The sequence below is a fragment of the Homo sapiens genome, chromosome 18 (genome assembly GCF_000001405.40).
Source record: "Homo sapiens chromosome 18, GRCh38.p14 Primary Assembly".
Lineage (NCBI taxonomy): Eukaryota > Metazoa > Chordata > Mammalia > Primates > Hominidae > Homo > Homo sapiens.
Window position 1 is genome coordinate 25,151,449 of NC_000018.10, and position 19,821 is coordinate 25,171,269.

At 38.1% G+C, this 19,821-nt stretch overlaps 1 protein-coding gene across 9 annotated transcripts in view, besides 1 other annotated feature; it reads right to left on the reverse strand.

Moving 5' to 3' along the window:
• ZNF521 (zinc finger protein 521) overlaps nucleotides 1–19,821 on the reverse strand; it is a 290,243-nt gene that overhangs the window by 89,525 nt on the left and 180,897 nt on the right. The window lies entirely within an intron of this gene.
• Nucleotides 13,256–14,858: an enhancer, noted in NCBI's record as "VISTA enhancer hs1027". NCBI's record gives its function as "enhancer in: hindbrain (rhombencephalon)[4/9] | forebrain[5/9]" and the evidence as "EXISTENCE:transgenic organism evidence [ECO:0001131][PMID:17130149]".

Sequence of the window (19,821 nt, forward strand, 5' to 3'; positions counted from 1 at the left end):
TAACATTCTGTTTATCTTTTTACCCCCAATGATATGTTGAGTGAATAAATGATTGACTGACTGAATGGCCCACTCTTTAAGCAGAACTTTGAAGACTGGACCAGGCTCTTTTGGGAGGTGGTGAGTCTTTAGGTGTTCAGCTAGTAGTCTGGACGAGACTTTTATCGTTTCTTTCAACTCTTTCCCTCTGCACCCCACTCCCTTAGGGCTTCTCGCTTAGCAGTAGGGTAGGAAGGAGTCAAGGCAGGCATCATGCAGAAGTTGAATCTGAGCTTGCTGTTCAGACAAGCAGACTAGTGAGAAACTCACAGCTCTCTTTCACAGCCCAGGATCCAGGTTTAAATACTAGAAAAGCCCCCCAAAAATAAGCTAAGACTGTCAATCAGAGTTAAAGAGGATTTCACTTGAGGATTCATGTTGCACAAATAATGAATGACTTCTATGAACAAAAGATCTAAGCAAAGTCCAGTCCTTTCTTATGGAACGGGGGTTGGCAGATCTCTTGATGCTGGCTTGAAATGGTTATTTTTTTACATGAGAGAGCATAAGCACTAACATAGCATTCCACTGCCTACACAGATCTCCCAGAGTATTAATGAGGAATGATCCCAAAAGACCGTTTTTATGAACCCTCACTGTGGAATCTTTCTACACATTTTTGAAGCCCTAGCCACCCGGAAGATCAGAATACCTTTGTTTAGACATTTATTTAGTACACTACAAAGGCAATTTAGAAAACTATCCTCTAGGCTGGGCATGGTGGCTCACGCCTGTAATCTCAACACTTTGGGAGGCCGAGGCGGGTGGATCACTTGAGGTCAGGAGTTTGAGACCAGCCTGGCCAAAATGGCAAAACCCCGTCTCTACTAAAAAAACAAAAATTAACCTGGCGTGGTGGCGCACACCTGTGGTCCCAGCTACTCGGGAGGCTGATGTAGGAGAATCACTTGAATCTAGGAGGCAGAGGTTGCAGCAAGCTGAGATCGTGCCACTGCACTCCAACCTGGGCAACAGAGCGAGACTCGGTCTCAAAAAAAAAAAAGAAAAAAAAAAGAAAGAAAAGAAAGCTATCCTCTAGTGATCTCTAAAACTAAATGCCCCTCCCTAAGTGTCTAACCAATTACCAAGGGATTTTTACTGCCAGAGAAAATTTAACATTTTTTTAAAAGTTTTACATCGGGTACAAAGGAGAGGAGACCCCGGAAAATTATGATATTGTGTTATGGTAAGTGGAAAAACGCCCGTTCACAGAAAACTCTCTTGACTACATACATCTTGAAGTTTTGCAGATAGGTCTGAGATCTGCTACAGGTTTAATTTCATGAGGAATGAATTTAATCTCTTTTTTTCTGCTCTTCCGTGTTGTCTTCTATTTTTGATACTTCGCTGGCATTAATGAAAACAGTGGAATTACTAGAGATAAAATGCAAAAGTTACAGAGCTACTGCTTTTCTACAAGAGTCTTGGGGATGGCCACGATGGGATGGAAGTTACTCTTCCTGAAATCTGACCCGAAATACCCCCCAAACACCATAAAATGTATAGATATTTGTCTTAAAACATAAACCCTGTGATCTTTATAAAATAGTTACTGACAAATAGTGAAACAGCTAGGTTTAAGGTTTTAAATGTATATTTTCTAATGGTGCTGATGGCTGTGTTTACTATGTATTTTGGTACATGAAGTACTATTACTAAGTGGATCGTAATGCTGTCAGTATGGAGAATGTTGGTCAGCTAAACTTTCAAGTTGCATATAATTTATACTAATATTTTAAGTAATTCACTTGGTCATGTAAATGGAAATCATGATACTACAACTCTCTAATAAAAATCTGTGCTTTCAAATTAAAAATTTATTTCCTACACTGCCTATACACATTTCATCACAAGCAGGATTTATGAAGTCATGGGGAAGCCTGTTCTACCCTGCCCCCTCTCTTATTACCTTCTGGTACTGGGATAATGAGAAGCTTGACAACATGGCTTCAGGTTGGAATTAAAAGCCTCAAGCTCGTCCCACTCTGATTTTATGGGGCCTGGCTACTGAGACTTCACAGGGCCTTGCTGAAACGGCCTGTCTACTTCAACTCCACATGGTCCCAGTCTGGCTAGGTCTTTGGATCAAACTCTTCTCGTGTGAATACAGACAGCATCTGGGAAACTGCACTGCGGATGTCTCCACAGAGAATCACAGATGCTGTCAGGACCGAACTTCACACTCAAACATTTGATGCATTTTAAAAAGGGATTCAGCCTCAGACTCTAACAGGCAGATGGATCGTCTAACACTTCAAAGGCTTTAGCATGATTGCTTTTTTTTTCTTTTGTCCTATAACCCATTCCTCTTCTCCTCCTTCTCCTCTCCAACATGCCTTTGCACAGTTCTAAAGGAAGCGACAAAGGTTCACCAGTCGTAATATCAAGAACACAACAAAACAAGCACAGATACTTTATCTCCCTCATACAATCCTGAGTATTTCCAGTTCTAATGTCAATGGTTCTAAGAAATCAGGAATAGGGCAAAAGGAGAAGTCACAGAAACAATGACAAGATTAAAGAAGCAACGAGGAAGTGTCAAGTTCTGTGTTCTGTGTCCATTCAGATGGTTTACCATCTTCCAAATCTGAACCTACTCTTCCCTAATAGTCAATTCCATTAGTAAAATGAGGGTATCCTGGATGGAAAGAATTGTTGATTTCATTCTGGTTCAAGCTATTTGGGGAAAAAAGTCCCAAATTCAACATGAACTTTTTCTTAAAAGGCTTCCTTTCTACAACTATTAAAGCCATTATTAAATTAGAAACATGCTGTGGCCCGAAGCTGCTAATCTCTACACCAGTTCTAAAATTGCTATTGCTGTTTCTCCATTAATTAATTACCAAGGTTTATACAAGTTGGCCAACTGACATGAAATGTGGACAAAAAGATTTTTCTCAGAGACATCTCAAAATAGGTGAATACCTGAGTCATTCACCTAGCTCTGATGGGATGGTTCTAAGGAACCATCAGGTAGGGGTGAAGGAAAAGAGGCAAAATAGGCAAAAGTGAACTTCAGAAGTTTAATCACTCAATCAACAAATTCTTAATATAAGTTGAGGTACCAACCTCATCCCAAGTGCTTTGGGGGAAGAAATTTTATTAGCCTTCAATACCCTGAAATTTAATAAAATCACCTATAAGTAACTCAAATAATCTACCTGTAAATAACTCAAATCAGATGAGCTAGAAGCTAAAAGGTGATAAAATACACTTTTTGATAAACTCAGAGAAGGGTGAGCTGAACAAGACCTTAGAAATTGTCTAGTACACACCTTCTCTTTAAAAATAAGATGACTCATGCATTGATGAAGACTTAAGTTCTTTCCATATTTTGGCTATTGTGAATAATGCACAATGAACATGGGAGTGCAGATATCTTTACGAGGTGGTGATTTCATTTTCTTTGGGTATATGGCCAGAAGAGGGATTGCTGGGTCCTATATTACTTCTATTTTTTATTTCTTTAGGAGCATCCATACTGTTTTCTATAATGGTTGCACCAACCTACATTCTCACCAACAGACAAGGGTTTCCTTTTCTCCATACCCTCATCAACATTTGTGATATCTTGTCGTTTAGTAATTGCTATCCTACCAGGTGTGAGGTGATATCTCATAGTGGTTTTGATTTGCATTTCCTTGATTAGTGATGTTGAGCACTCTTTCTTGTAACTGTTGGCCATTTTTATATCATATTTGGGGAAGTTTACTTCAAGTCCTGTCATCTATTCAAGTTCTTTACCCATTTTTTAATTGGGTTGTATGTTTTCTTCCTATTGAGTTGTATGAGTTCTTTATTAATCTTGCCTATTGACCCATTCTCTGATATAAAGTTAGCAAATATTTTTTCCCAATCTAGCAATTCCCTTTTCATTTTGTTGCTTTTTTCCACAGCAGATTTTTTTCTGCTCTGCAGAAGTTTTTTAGTTTGATGTAGCCCTATTTATTTATATTTGTTTTGGTAGCCTAGGGTTTTTAGTGTGATATCCAAGAAATCATTACCAAAGCCAATGTCAAAGAGCTTCTCTCCAATGTTTTCTTCTAGGAATTTTATGGTTTTAGGTCTTACATTTAGGTCTTTTATCCATTTTGAGTTTATTTTTGTGTACAGTGTAAGATAAGGGCCCAATTTCATTCTTTTGCAAATGGAAATCTGGTTTTCCCAGTAGCATGTATGGAAAGGCCTATCCTTTCCTCACTGTGTCTTTTTGGTGTCCTTGTCCAAAATTAGTTGTCCATATATGTTTGGATGTATGAACAAATGGATAAACTGTGGTATAAATATATGCAATAGAATATTATTCAGTCTTAAAAAAAGGAGGCAATCCTGCCATTTGTACAACATGGATGAACCAGGAGGACATTGTGCTAAATGAAATAAGCCAGGCACAAAAAGAAAAATATTGAATATTCTCACTTATATGTGTAATCTTAATAAAAGGTTAAATAAAACATATAGAGAATAAAACAGTGGGAAAGATATTAAGTTTAAAGGACATAAAGCAAATATGTAGGAAGAACTAGTCAACAGAGCTAATGTACAACATAAGGACTATAGTTAGTGATAGTGTACTGTACTCAGAATTTTTGCTAAAATGAGGAGATTATAGCTGCTCTGACCACAGCAGGCGGAAATGGGTAACTATGTGAAATGATAGATTTGTTAGGTTTTCCCATTATTATAACTATTTTACTATATGTATTTATCTTGTAACATCATGTTCTATACCTTAAATACAGACAATTTTAAAAAATAAGGGGAAATGGACTTGTTTAATGCCACTCAATTAGAATGGCAGAGCCAAATTGAGAGTCCAGTTCCCATCAGCATCCATTTCTATGAACTTCCCACAGTGCCTTTCCTCTAGGTACTTGCATTCTGTGTGGGGGATTTCACTGCATAAAAACCTATACATCAGTGTTCTTTATTTCAGAAGAAACATTTTCTCACGCTCATTCGTCTCTTCAAAGCAGAGATGCAAAATTCACACATGTGCATATATATTTCAATACACTTTAAAAAGTCTAATGAGCAAAGTAGAAAGACTGGACCTGGTTTAATCCATTGAAATCTTGACTTAAATTTTATACATTACCTATATATACAATCCAGGCAAGAGTATTTTCTTCATCTGATGACTGTTGTAATTTGCAAAGGCTACTAGTACCCCATATATATGTAATTGTTTTTCATATATATGGAAAATCTATATGTTACATTTAAAAATACCTAAGAATGAAAAATATATGCATATTAAACACTACTAAAAAGGTAAATAGCAAATAAAGGGAAAATAGTATTCTGAAAGACAAAACATCTCATAGTCTTAAAACGTGAAGAGTTCTTAGAAATCAATATGAAGACAGCAAACCAATTTTTAGTGGACATGAGGCATGAAGGAGCTCTTGCCAAAATAACAACAAATAGAAATGGCAAAGGTGGCTCATGCTGTAATCCCAGAACTTTAAGAGGCCGAGGCGGGCAGATCACTTGAGGCCAGGAGTTCGAGACCAGCCTGGCCAACATGACGAAAACCTGTCTCTACTAAAAACAGAAAAACTAGCTGGGCATGGTGATGGGCACCTGCAGTCCCAGCTACCCGGGGGCTGAGGTGGGAGAATCGCTTGAACCTGGGAGGCGGAGTTTGCAGTGAGCCGAGATTGCACCACTGCCTCCAGCCTGGGTGACAGAGTGAGACTCCATCTCACAAAAATAAAAATAAAAAAAAGCAAATAATCAATCTCACTAACAATAAAAAATTGAAAATTAAAATGACAGATTGTTGCTACATATCTGATGGAGGGTTTAAAATGTAAAATGTCTGTTTAAAAAAGTCTACGATTTAGTGTGGTCAAGTTTATGAGGAATGGGTATTCACACACAAAGATAGAGATGTGATTCAGTATAACTTCAGTGATCAGAAACGGGAAAGTTCAAATGAAGAGCATTAAGAGTGTTCTTTTACTTTCTTACTCACAGAATTTATCCTAAGGAGATAATCAGAGATAATACTATTAGAAGAGCAACACGTTGGTAACAATTCAGTGTCCAGTGTAGACCGTGCAAAACGTCTAAGTGGATTGCTTAAGCAAAGATGGGCACAAGTGTGTGAGGAACTGTCTTGCAATCATTAAGGCATATAAAGAATATAAAGAAGGAGTCCCTGTGTCTCAGTGATTTAGAACCAGTCTCTGAACTTCCAAACTGCTCAGTTCAAATCCTGCCAACTATTACCTGTGTGGCCTTGGGGAAGCTACTAAACCTTCTTTTTTTTTTTTGAGACGGAGTCTTGCACTGTCATCCAGGCTGGAGTGCAATGGTGCTGTGTTGGCTCACTGCAAGCTCTGTCTCCTGGGGTTCTAGTGATTCTCCTGCCTCAGCCTCCAGAGGAGCTGGGATTACAGGTACCTGCCACCATGCCCAGCTAATTTTTTTGTATTTTTAGTAGAGACGGGGTTTCACTATGTTGGCCAGGCTGGTCTTGAACTCCTGACCTCAGGTGATTCACTCACCTCGGCCTCCCAAAGTGCTGGGATTACAGGCATCAGCCACTGCGCCTGGCCTACTTAACCTTTTAGTGCTTAGTTTTCTCTAATATAAAATGGGGATAACAGTAGTACCTATCTCATAGAATAGTTGTGGTTTCGTTAAATACTTGATATCTTTGAAGATATTTAATGACAAAGGGATAGGTGTATTATGTACTAATTTTGAGGAGGAAAAGCAGAAACCATTTAAAATATTATATTGTATATAGTAAGATCATATATATATTTAAAGTATATATGCATGTGCATGTATATTTGCATAAATTTTTTAAAAGGCTGAAGAAAGAAAAAACTTGAAGAAAACATTCCAAAATGCTACAATGTACCACCTCTTACAGTTCTGAGTAATTAATTTTTTAATTAATTTAAATTTTAATTAATTATTCTGCATTTTCCCAATTGGCCATAATCATCAAAAATACAGATTATTCAAAGGAAATACAGGAATAACTTCTCTATATTGTTATTCTCTGATTTTTAGGGAAGAAATCTTCAAAGGAAAAGGAAACACTATTATCCATGAAACCACGAAAGCATGAAAAGAGACACTCTGTAAAACAGTTGAGGATGCTAAAGAACACAGGGAAGGAAGAAGAAAAGGAAATGAAATGAGGTAAGAAGAGGAAAAAATACCAGCCGGGTGTGGTGGCTCACACCTGTAATCCCAAGCACTTTGGGAGGTCGAGGCAGGTGGATCACTTGAGGCCAGGCGTTCAAGACCAGCCTGGCCAACGTGGTGAAACCCCATCTCTACTAAAAATACAAAAAATTAGCCGGTGTGGTGGTGTGTGCCTGTAATCAGAGCTACTCTGGAGGCTGAGGCAGGAGAATCACTTGAACCCAGAAGGTGGAGGTTGCAGTGAGCTGAGATTACACCACTGCATTCCAGCCTGTGCGACACAGTGCGACTCCATCTTAAAAAAAAAAAAAGAAAGGTAAAACTACCAAACAAAAAAATGAAAGAAGGAAACATCCAGCAAACATGTAAAGTGTGAGAGGTAAATAAGAATATAAAATCACAGAAGACTGCTTTATCCAAGTCTGCCCATCAGAGTGATTTGCCCGGTTGCCCCCATTCAGAGCCTTCTTTACAGTGAAATGTAAAGTGCTGCAACTTTAGGATATGGTTACAAGAAAATGGTTAAAGGTAACCGAGAAGCTGATCATTATCAATTAAGTTGTGCTCACTTGGCATGGTGGGGTGTATTCTACAAAGTGAGGTAAACAGTTTCTTCCATGACAATTTTCTTTTTATTTTCTTCACAGTACATTTATTTGCTATGTTGCCCAAAGTTTGGATAACCCCAGCATCCAGGAATATCCTGGGGGCAGGGTAGAAAGAAATTGTGATCTAAAGAAAGACATACAGATGTTTAAGTTTTCTGCTATTACTGGCTGAGAAAAGAATCTAAACCAGGGAACATGTAAAAAACAGGAGTGTTGCTTTCTGCAGAGGAGAAACGACTAACACTAACAAAAAAAAACCATAGATATTTTGGGTTGTAAGATTGATGACTAAATAACGATCACATCTGTGGATGATGAGGGAAAGTCCTCCAGCTAGGTACTGATTGAGTGGGTCACTGCAAAATTCAGAGTAGTTTGGTAGTTACACAGTTAATACTTGGGAGAGGAAAGAAGCTGTGAACCTTGATAGGGCTGGACAGAATAAGGGGGCCACTTCACTGTGCCAAATTTAGAAATGTCACATCGGGGTCAACAAAGTTACACTCACTAAGAAAGACTCAGGATATGTGGCTTTGGACAAGCTACTCAGCATCCTTCGGCCTTGGTGTTCTCAGTGTAACACCAAGATAATAGTACACATGGTTATGCGGGTGGAGTAAATGAGACAATATGTGTCATGCTAAGCTCAGTGCAAGGTATTCTACAAATGACAGCTGAAAATAGCCTTAAAAATGCCAACATAAAATAATGTGTCATTAGTTTGTAATCATATCAGAAAATGCTTAAGGAAATACTTTGGAAGTTCTAGAGATGGGAAGATGAGGGTATGCAAAGGCACCAGACAACTCACCTGCCAGGACACTCTTCTGGTTCAAGGTGGAATTTTGTTAGGCACAATCTGGATTAGCCATCAGGGGGTTATTTTAGCCGCATGTTTGTTACTACTCTATTCGTCTTTACTGTCAAGGCAACATTAAATGAAAAAGTCATGAAAATGAAATCGGGTAAACTTTTGCCCGTCAGAGGATAGAACAGTGCAGCCACCAGTGCACTCTGGGAATTTTGCCTGTAAGATGTTGACCTAGATATGTTCCCTGGTGAACTGATGCTTCTCTGTCCCTCTTACTGTCCAGAGGGTGAATGAATGATGCACATGTGGCCAAATTCCACACTACGTGATTAATTTGAAGCAAGTGATTAAAGGGCTCTTTTTAGGAATTTGGTTGCAAGAGCTAAGACTCACTCATGGATTCTTTCATACATGGACACACTGCACTTATGCACACACACACACACATTACACATATACATACACACACATCACCACTCATTCAGATGAATTTTTGTTTACTATCTTCGTTGTCAGGTTTAGAAGTAAAAGTTCCACAGATAAGTTCGCGCATATGTGTTCTCTAGGTTTTGTGTTCTTTACAGCACTTTGTACATTCCCGTGGTGAGAAGAAAAACAAATCAAGGTGAGAACTTTTCCTCTGATATTTCCATTGCTTTTCATGTGAAACAAACAAGCCGTATGCCATAATGGGAATGAGAGATGACATTTGGGGAGGTTGACAATTTTTAGGGGGATGTGTGTGTGTATATGTGTGTGTTTTTTCTGTTAAGAGATGCTAGAGTAGATAATTCCAAATAAAATTCAGCAGGTCCTGATGTTAAATTTTGGGCACCAAACTGAATTTAAGGAGAGCAGAAGTACCAGGCCTCCCTGAGGACCCAGTCTGATACCTCCTGAGGCCCCTGGCTCAGCTGTGGCAAGCTAATAAGGTGACCCTGAAGCAGATGCAGTTGTTAATACAGATGTGGCATGAGACCTCCTGAGGCAGGTCACAGTCATGATAACTCATGGCAATATGCAATATACTCATTATGAAGGCTTGTGACGGGAGCACCTCAAACCAGAGGCCTCCTAGTACGTCACACTCCCTTTGTCTCCTTCTCCCTCAAAGCACCTGATGGAAGGCAGGCTCACTAATAATTTTTCTAAAACACACACATACCACACACACGGTGGTTGGGGGAAGTTTTGTTTGGACACATTTCCTTCAACATGAAGGATTTTAAGTTGTTCTAAGGCAATTAACGTTATTTGGGAAGTACATATAGAAAATCTCATGGAAATCAAGTGTGACAGCTGCTGTGGGGGTCCAGAAAAAGAAATGCCACTTTTTATGGACACAATGGAGGGGAATGGTTGTTGGCAGCTACTTTTAAGGTTCATGATGTGTGGTGAAATGGCCAGCATTGTGAATGAAGGCTGTTTGTAAGTAAAATGGTGTGTTTCCTCAATTCTTCCCACTAGTCACAGTCTAAAATAATTATTTGAAGACAGATATAAATGACTAGATTTAATTTCACTTAAAACTCTTTTGAAGACAATGAGCTGATTTGAAACTTACAAAATCACAGAATCTCCTGAATGAATGGAAGACTGCATGTACATCACACACTGATGCGTTAACTTTTAAAACGGCTTGCTGGTCATTTGAGTTAATGCAAGAAAGAGCTGACTAATGTACAGAGAGTAGGTTAAGCACTAAAATGATGTGATTTGTTCAATATTTTCAGACTAACAGGGCACTGCAATCTTTTTGCTACTAATATTCTGATTTCTAGCCCAAAAGACAGACAAGCAGGTAGACTTCTGAAATTCCCCAACCACTTCATTAACAATGATGGCGGGTTACAACATGACAAGCAGTGGTTCCTGGGCACATGGGAACTACCTTCTGTGGGATTTTCAAACTTCCTAGTCCTCAGGGGAGTGGAGTACAGGACAGAAAATGTAAGAAAATTTAAATCTCCTCTGTGACTCATGTTTTCCCAAGAGAAACTCCATTGCTGGGTCACTCTTTTAGCTCGCCTGAACCTATTTTCCTTCCTCTGTATGTGATCATGAAGAGAACAATGACTGTGTTCCAACCTGAAATCAAATGTTCAATGTTACAAATAGTCGTTTCAATGAAGTTAGAATTGATGGGAAAAAAAGGCCTTAACATTCATACATGAGAATAACTATCATTCTAAGATACTTGCAAATGAAGACTGCAAAAATAGATAAGGTTCAATCAAACTAAAGATACAAAATAAAGATAAGAATAATAATTGAAGGACATAAAAGCAAGATGATATTTCAAATTTATTATTATAATGTATGGATACGGAATTCTATAATAATTTTCAGTGTTTCTAAATAACTAGGGCATCACTACATCTATTTCTGCAACACACAAAATTATCATCTAAGTTTACTCATTCATTCAGTTGATTAATCAATCATCCAACAAACTTCTCTTGCATGCCAATACATTTTTAAATGTTTTCTATAAGACATTAGAGATTGTAAAGCAAGTCCAACAGGGCTTGGCCATCAGACCAGACAGTCTGTTATTTGATGTAAAAATGCAGTGAAAATGACTGCCAATGATGCTTCAGTGACAAAATTCATATCCAACTCAGGCATGGATTTGGGGTTGGATGTGGTTCCTACAAGAATAAATAGCAGTAATTGAAATAAAGTAAAGGAAGTGATCTCTGTGTCTGGAGTATTTTAATCACAGAACAAGACACTTACAATTTAAGCATGATTTTTAAGCTGTATCTTACAGGAGGCATTAGGTTAGATTTTTTTTTTGTCTGTAGTTAACAAGCCCTGTAGGGTTTAATATGCTAAGACTGGATTCACCTAAGCCTTAAAATATGTTCATTATTTAACTATTAATCTAAGATCAACATAAAATGGCACTTGCATATATTTTTCTCCATTGTTCCATCTGTATTTTGCTCTTTCATTTGCAGAGATGCAGGCAAGAAGAGACTATAATTCAGGATTGCATAGCTAGTTAGTAGCTGAATTAGATCTAGAATGCTTGCTTTCTAATCAATGAACCAAGGTTTATATACCGTAGGTCCTACAGCTTTGATTGATTTTAAATTATCAAAGTTAGCATAGTCAATAATATCAGAGGAGAAAACTCAGCATAGTATGATAAATAAAATGGATCCACATATGTTCTGTGCAATGCAAGTATGGCCTGAATCAAACAGTGCTATCTCAACCACACAGATAACTGTCTTCTTCCTATTCATAATAAGCTGATGGCAGTATTTTTTATAACAAAGATGGCTCAAAGATTTAAAAGTTGCTGGACACACTAATTAGAATTAAGATTGGCCTGGTTTATATCAAGCCCCTTTTTAGCACCGTGCTATTGGTTTGGTCCGACACCATCCCCTGCAGTGTGTGGAGACAGGCCAGGAGTGTGAGGGCTGCAGAGCAGAGCAGGAAGAAAATCAACTGTGAAATTGGTAATTTTATTGAGTTTCATGGGGGGCTTTGTTGTTAAGACACAATGCAATTGGAACAGAACGCCTGTGGTAACACCATGTACACAGTGCCCATTTCATGGCTAAAGGTAAACTGCCTCTAACCAAAAGTTACACATACACATACGTTCCTGCTCAAAACCATTTTGCCAAGTGAAAAAAAGAAATGGATCTGATGCAGGATGAATTGCTGTGTTGCAGGTATGGGGGCTTTTTGCCAAAAACACAGGTAGAACAGTGTGTGTGGGATGGTAGGTGTGTGTCTTTCCCTCGCGACATATCAGAAGGTTCCTTTTCGGAACAGGGCCTGCTGGTTTGGGTTTACAGAAAAGCTGTCCTTTCACTATAAATGATAGGAAGGTCCCAGAAGGAGTATGTGAGAAAGACAGGGGCAGAAGGAGAGGACAGATCGAAATGTAATGCCTGAGCAGCTGAAATCATTTGGTACTCTCAATCCCCCAGGTAAAATAGGAATTAAACATAGCTAACAGGATATTACTCCCAGTTGGAAAAGATCTGCTTGCTGGCAATGTGAAAGTGAAGCTAACAATTGGTATTTGTTCTAGGGTGGTATCCCCCCCACTTCCCTGCCAAATAGCTTGAAGTAGGAATAGTTAAATAAAGTATGCTGGTTAACTGTGTAAATACTCCTGCAGCTTCTGTGCCTTGCAGGGCTGTCCCCGGAGTGGGTTAACTTGCTTTCTGATGGAAGCATGTCTAAAGATGTCCAAGTAGTCGTGACAGGGCAGGAGAGCCAACCCCAATAGATGAGGTTAAGTGGTGGTCAAAGATGGAACACCTTCATTTTGCAAGAAGAAAGCCTGTACATGAAACACTTCCTCCCAGGCCAGCACCTGAGTCCAAACAGCAAGCTACCATTTCAAGAAGGTTTCATATTTATCATGCATTTTGACCACATTTTTGCACGGAAAGAAACTAGGAAGATCAAAGTAGTCCTGTGTGTTACTATCAGTTTAATTTAAACTGCATGCGGGTATAGCAATGCTATCCTTTCCTATTTGGGAGCATATCTCAGGAGATTTTTGCCCTCGCTCTGGGACTAAGTTGTCACGGTTGGCTTCTCCCCATACAAGGGAAGCATTTGGGTCAGACTATGTGTGAAAAAGGAAGGAAAAGGTGGTTAGAGTGCCAGGAGATCACACTGCTGCCCCTCCCTGGGCACCCCCAGGAGGGGGGCACTCAATTCACTATTTATGCTGAAAGTGACAGAAGATGACCAGCTGGCATTTTTTACTCTTATTTGTTTTTGTGTAATCAGAATAATAGTTATACCCACTGGCGCAGTATAAATGCAATACACCTGGATAGGTCTGCCCCTCCAGAATACAGAGGAAGGGGTATTAATTCATTTTCAATAGAGATAATAATGAACACCGATGTCGTGCTCTTTCCGAAAGATATGACTTTCGTGTTCGTGTGTGGCTAAGTATGTCAGAGCATCTGTACACACCAGTTTCACTTTCAAACATGCATTTTAAACTGAAGCACTCTTTTAACCCCATATGGTTTTTCAGTTGTACTGTATTCTATGCTTCTTTTCTTTTTCAAAATGCAATTAATATGGTTGTGTGTTAAATGATTCAGTGAAAGTAAATCTTTTATATTCAGGTAAGCAATTCAGCCTTGTAAGGTTTTATGGGAATTAGATTTTTCTGAAGTCTGGGTTGAGCATGCCCATAACTCTGACAGAGCCCTGCAGGCTCTTGTCTTCACCTTCAAATCATAAGACAGAGAAATCAAGCTCCCTCTGTGCTCTCAATTATACCAAAAAACACGGAGCAGAAGTCTTCAGTAATTCAATCCCTGTGGAAGCTTCTTCACACTGTTTGCGCTGTTGGAACTGCTGACAGCAGCAATCCCACCGTCCCCCGGTAGACTGTCAAAGTTCCTCATACAGTGTGAGCAGCTCTGTTCTGTCCCACAGCTCCTTCTCCAGAGACCTCAGAGCACATGCATGACTTTTGATGCTTGCTTGATACAGTGGCCAAGAGGCCAAAAAACATCACAATGAGAGTTCTCATACTCCTACAAGGTGCTTTGTACTCAAAGTAATAAGTTCTGTGGCTACATGTGGGCCTGAGTTGGTGTAATTTAATCACAAGTACAGCTGCATAAACACTGTACTAAGGAATGTCTGCCTGCAATTGGATTCTTTCTTTGAAAACACACTGTAGAAAATTCCTGAGTGCCATTTTCCATATGGTTAATGAGCAAATGTATCATGACCAGCTTTTAAAAGTAATTTGAATTTATGAGTTGCACTGATTCTAGCACATGTGCATAAGAAATCACACATACGCTGGGCTCTTCCTTATCAGGCAACACCATTTCATCGTTTTCTGCCAAACAACACCAAAAAGAACCACTCTGTGTGTTTAATTGGCTTAAATCATCAGTTACAGCCTACAGCCATTATTTCCAGAAACCACCAACCGCTTCTAGTCTCTCCTGTCAAAAAGTCTTAAAGGTAGGTTAGTCCACATATAACACAAAAGTGCTATCCATTTTTTAAAGTTTTCCTTTATAAATACAGATTTGAAAAAAATCTTTAAAACTCACTTTCTCAACACAATCTCTGCTGTTCCATCACATTCAAGTTTTTCTACTCTTTTTAATGAAATAAAAGACACAGGGTACAGATTTTTCTACAAATCAAACCTGTTGCTATATACTTCATTCTCTACCCTTTGACTGTAGCTCAAGTGGGAAGCATAAACAGAATGAATTGCTATCACGATATTCAAAATTCCAAAGTAGCTGAGTAAATTTGAAATTCACTAGATAAATAGAATTTGCCTCAATGTGTGGGCTGAAGTTAACTGGATTTTTTTAAACAAGATTCTTGTTATCATTTTGCCATAGGATATATTTCTGGTTCTAGATCATTATGCCTGCACATTAAAAAGATTGCAAATCATTATTTTTAAAGAAGAGATAAAGACACATATGCACACATTACCCACTGACGTAATAGAAATACACTTCACTATATTGTACACTGTCAATCTTTCTTCTTTCTGTTGTTTGTAGACTTTTAATACAAAAATATAATTCAAATCTTTTCCTATGTAGGAACATAGCTGCTTCTGCCTGCAATCCCCTAAATCATGCCACAAACATCCATGTTTCTGTTAACATGAATTATTATAGAAAACATATAACTAGACAATTGGCAGAATTAGCTTTCTTTTATAAGACAGCGCCACATATTTAAATATTGATATTAATGTTTAGTCCAACTCCACCTATAACTGTATGATTACTGGTGCAGTATTTGATTTAGTTCGTACATTAATATTTGTTGAAGATATGGATTAACCAATATTATTGAGCTAATATGCTATTAGTGTTGGAAAATAATGATTACTTTTTTTCATTAACTAATAATAAACTTAAATTTGCTTTACTTTATATATTTCTCATCACTGCTTTTCTGCTGATTCAGCCTTAGCCAAGCACACATTCCTAAGGCTTAAGAAAGTGAGGTTTAATTGTTCTCTTCCTAGCACAGGTGAACCTAGTTCATCTGAATGGGTACTTACTGTCTCACAGGGAAGTGGTCACCAAATGGTAATCAATATGGTGCCATGAAAGTTCACCTGGAAGCCCTGTCTTAAGTATACTTTAATTTTTACAGATTCACATTCACAATTTTCCACATTTCTGTGGGCTGCTTGTCTCTTTACCAGCCCAAAGTTCACAGAATCTTAAAACATACAAAAAACACTTGTTTTATGTAAGTGCTTCTACAGTAATAGGCTGAATTTTTAAAGGCAGGTATCAGTATTAATACTAATTCTAAAGGTAAAATACTCCAAAATGACAGAAGTGTTTTAGGAATAAGATAAATCCAGTAAAATTGGAAGACACAAAACCTACCTGACCAAAATTCTTGAAGAAGGACCATATTGAGTAAATCTGTATTTTTGTCTTATTTTTGGACAAAGGTGGATGCTTGTTATTTTTGAAACCTCAAAAACCTTCTTGGTCTTTTTATTTAAAAAATGCTTTTCTATGGCCAATATGAAGAAATGTCTCAAATTATACCAATTCATGCCAACACTGTTGCATGAGTATTCTAGCTACCATTAAGCAGGCATTTGGTGGAGGAGGAGGGACTAAAAATTTATGATACAAACTGGAGTTATGGATTGCTCTGTGGCTTTGTGCCCCATCTGTCAAACTGGGGTGTCTGAACGGAGAGAAAGCAAGAAATTCCCACAAATCACAGATTGCAGTGCTGTTCCGCTCCCTCATTACTTTAAAGGTATGATTCTGTGTGAATAAAAAATGTACAGTTAGCATTCTGAAGTATTGAATGGCTTTTAAAAGCATTTAGAAAATATGTACAAGGATGAAAAGGTCACTCGCATAAAAGAGGGTATGCACAAGGTGAAAGCCTAATGAAACATTATGCGGTATCTTTTTTGGTGCTCAGAATAGCTCCAAGGTTAAGAGACTCCGAGTCAGTCTTCTGCAGATCCATTTCCTCTCTCCAGGCTTCTCATGTTAACCCAGTGATTTAGTGCTCTGCATTAAGAGCAATTCACCTGCCTCTGGTGTCCCTGTGGCCCGTCCCTCTAGGGAGCGAGGTGGAGAATAAAAAGTTCCACATATGGTAAAGTCAAGCTGCTTGGAGCCTGCTGAGTGTCTGCTGTGGGGATAGCGGCTCCTGAAAGCCCCAGCTGGTACTTGGAAGAGATTCTGCATTACTACACCTCAGTGCCTGCCTGGTTCCCTTCGGAAACTGTTGGCTCCACATACGACAGCCATTTTAGATCTCTTCAACCCTTTTCTCCCGGTTCTGTATCCAACTGAACAGTTGGTCCTCTACTGCTAGATAATCAAATTCTTCCATCTGGTCCTATCCCTGTGGAACTGAAAAGGTGTAGTGTGCACCCGGTCCCAAACACATACCAGGAGAGGCACAGACTTCCCAACAAAAAGCAGTCCACAATAGACAACTGCAAAACCTTGATTTTAAATATAGGGGAAGAAGGGGAGAAGACAGTTAAATATCTATACAATTATCTCCACAAAAGAGATAGTCAGAACGTGCCAAAGTCACTAAACTGCGTGAGCTACAAATACAGTAAGAACACATTCCTTACACTTTTGACTCCTGCTGGAAGTATCAAGCCAATTACCTGAGATATCTTCCAGGCACGTACAGTACCTTCCTTGACATATACACCACTCTGTGTCTATGTCAGTGTGACCTGATCGACACTAAGTGTGAGTAAACTGGGAAGGCAGGTTAGTATTTCTCCCAGCTGCAGTAGTTTACCCATCATCTCAGTTTAGCAGGAGACTCAGTACACAAACTGTATCACTGGGTCCTACAATGACTGGTTTCTGTGTCTGGGGTGTGTGTGTGTGTGTGTGTGTATTTCATATTGTGTGAGGGACAGAAAAAGGAACTGTAACAGGTAATAGTTTCCACAATTATTCCTCCTACATTTTCCTGGCACTATATTATAATTCCATGGACAGAATATATACTTTGCTTTCCTTCTTGAGGTGGTTTGGCTTTCCCTTTTAACTGTCCAACTATTTCAGTAACAAAAAGGTCATCTTAATTTAGCCTCACTAGTTTCTATGGAACCTACAGTGGTTTGCAAAATACATATATTTTTGGACATCTATTATTTTCCTATTGCTTTACTGTTTTTAAGGAACTTTAACATGTCTTTTGAATTGATCTTCATGAGAGTTGCATGAAAGTGCCCAGTACTGGTATTTTCAATCCACACTTGCTAGATAAAACAGCTGACCCAGAATGACAAAGTGACTTCCTGAGGGTGGACAGCTCATACAAGGTACATCTTGTCACAGGACTGCAGATGTCCAGGTCTGGTACAGGCCCAGAATTTCAAGTCATTGATGAAACAATGGGTATTGTGTGCAAAGCCAGCAATTTTTGTGTTGAGATTTGTCTTACTTTCACTATTTTTTTTAATAAAGACTAGTTTAAAATAATTAAATACCATCCCTTTACTTTATAAATACGAAAAACCAGAGGTCAAATGACACATCTAAGATGGTAAAATCGGTATCTCTTATATTTTAAATAAATGACGACCTACAATTTGCATGATTCTTGAAGAGCAATTGTCCTGAAGTTGCTTCTAGGATACTGAAATGAGGGTGGGGAATAGAGTGTGGAGGATGGTGGAATATGTTTAAGGTAACTGGATTAGCAGTTTAGAAAAACAGAGTAAGAGATCCAAAGGTTAATCTCACTATACTAATAAGGTCCTTATAAATCTTCACTGTTTTTCTTCGGTATGTATGAGTCACTTATGCTGCAATTATAAAATACTTTTGCATCTTATTAGGACTTTTTCTGAAGGAAACTTAAAGTGTGTCACTACTCAGCCATTTTATTAACAATATAATACTGATCTAGGGTGTATTCTTTCCCAATAAACATTATTCTGATTTCAAATCATAAACAAGAGTTTACAGTCAATAAGACTAGCAATACCTCAGTTAAGCTGCAGATGTTAATAGAAGTAGTTTTCTTTCTTTCTTTTTTTTTTTTAAGGAAAACTCACTTATCTCATTTAAGCACAACCACCAAAGGCGGCGTTCAATGCTCAAGTCACAAAACCAACCTTCTGGTTCCTATCTTCACAGTGATTGGAAAATCTTCACTAACCTGAAATGTCAGAAATAATGATCAGATTGAATATGACTTCATAAATAATTTAATAATAGACTTAGAGCATCTCATTCCCTATTCTGATTGGTGGAAAATCAATTGCACTGTGCTTGGCAATGACTGACTTCCCATTAGAGTTTTTCCTAATTACAGCCAAATACAACATCTTTGTCCTTCCGTAGAGCCAGACTGCAAAGTAAAAAGTTGTTTTTAATATAAATTTTAGTTCTTGTAAACCCTTAACAATAGTCATTCTTCATCCTCTCTAAATCAGTTTTGACTACACTAAGTGATGAGTCTGTTGGTACACACTATCTCTGGTTTCAAATGACAAAGCTTAACACATGAGTTGTTAACTATCTGTAATGACACTTAGTTGATTAATGCTTCAGTGACACCCAATTTGATCTCACGTCCACTATTAAATCGTAGCCGTGTAACATAATTTAGTGTTGAAAGATTTTATAAAGGAGGCAAAATTGGCTTTGAAGGCCATGCACATTTTTAAAGGTAAGACTGATCATACAATTCAGGCCTATTTCTCCCTTGGAGTTTCAAGGAATTAATTTTTCACTAACATCTACTAGATGTTGTATTTTGGCATTTGCATTTATGAGTTAAAAATTTGTTTTGTGTCCAAATAAATCAGTTGCTACCAGTGGATTTATTTATTGGGACAATCTGATTCCAGTATTAAGAAGTCAGTGTTAAGAAAATATAGTTAGATGGGACAAAAAACATAAGCTGTGGCATACTGTCTATATCATGTACCTTTAGTTATGAGAGACAGACAACTTAAAATAATTGCATTCATAATTGTGCTACAGAATTCATATGTAGACTGAAACATAAAATTTTTATTTAGGGAAATGAGAATCTGATAAATGAGCATTATAAACAAAACAACAACAAAAACTAAGTGGTGAGTTACTAGGAATAACTGCATTCTGCTCACCTCACACACAATCGAAATTAGAAACCATTACTGCATCGAAGACTTGCTCTCAATAGCAGTTA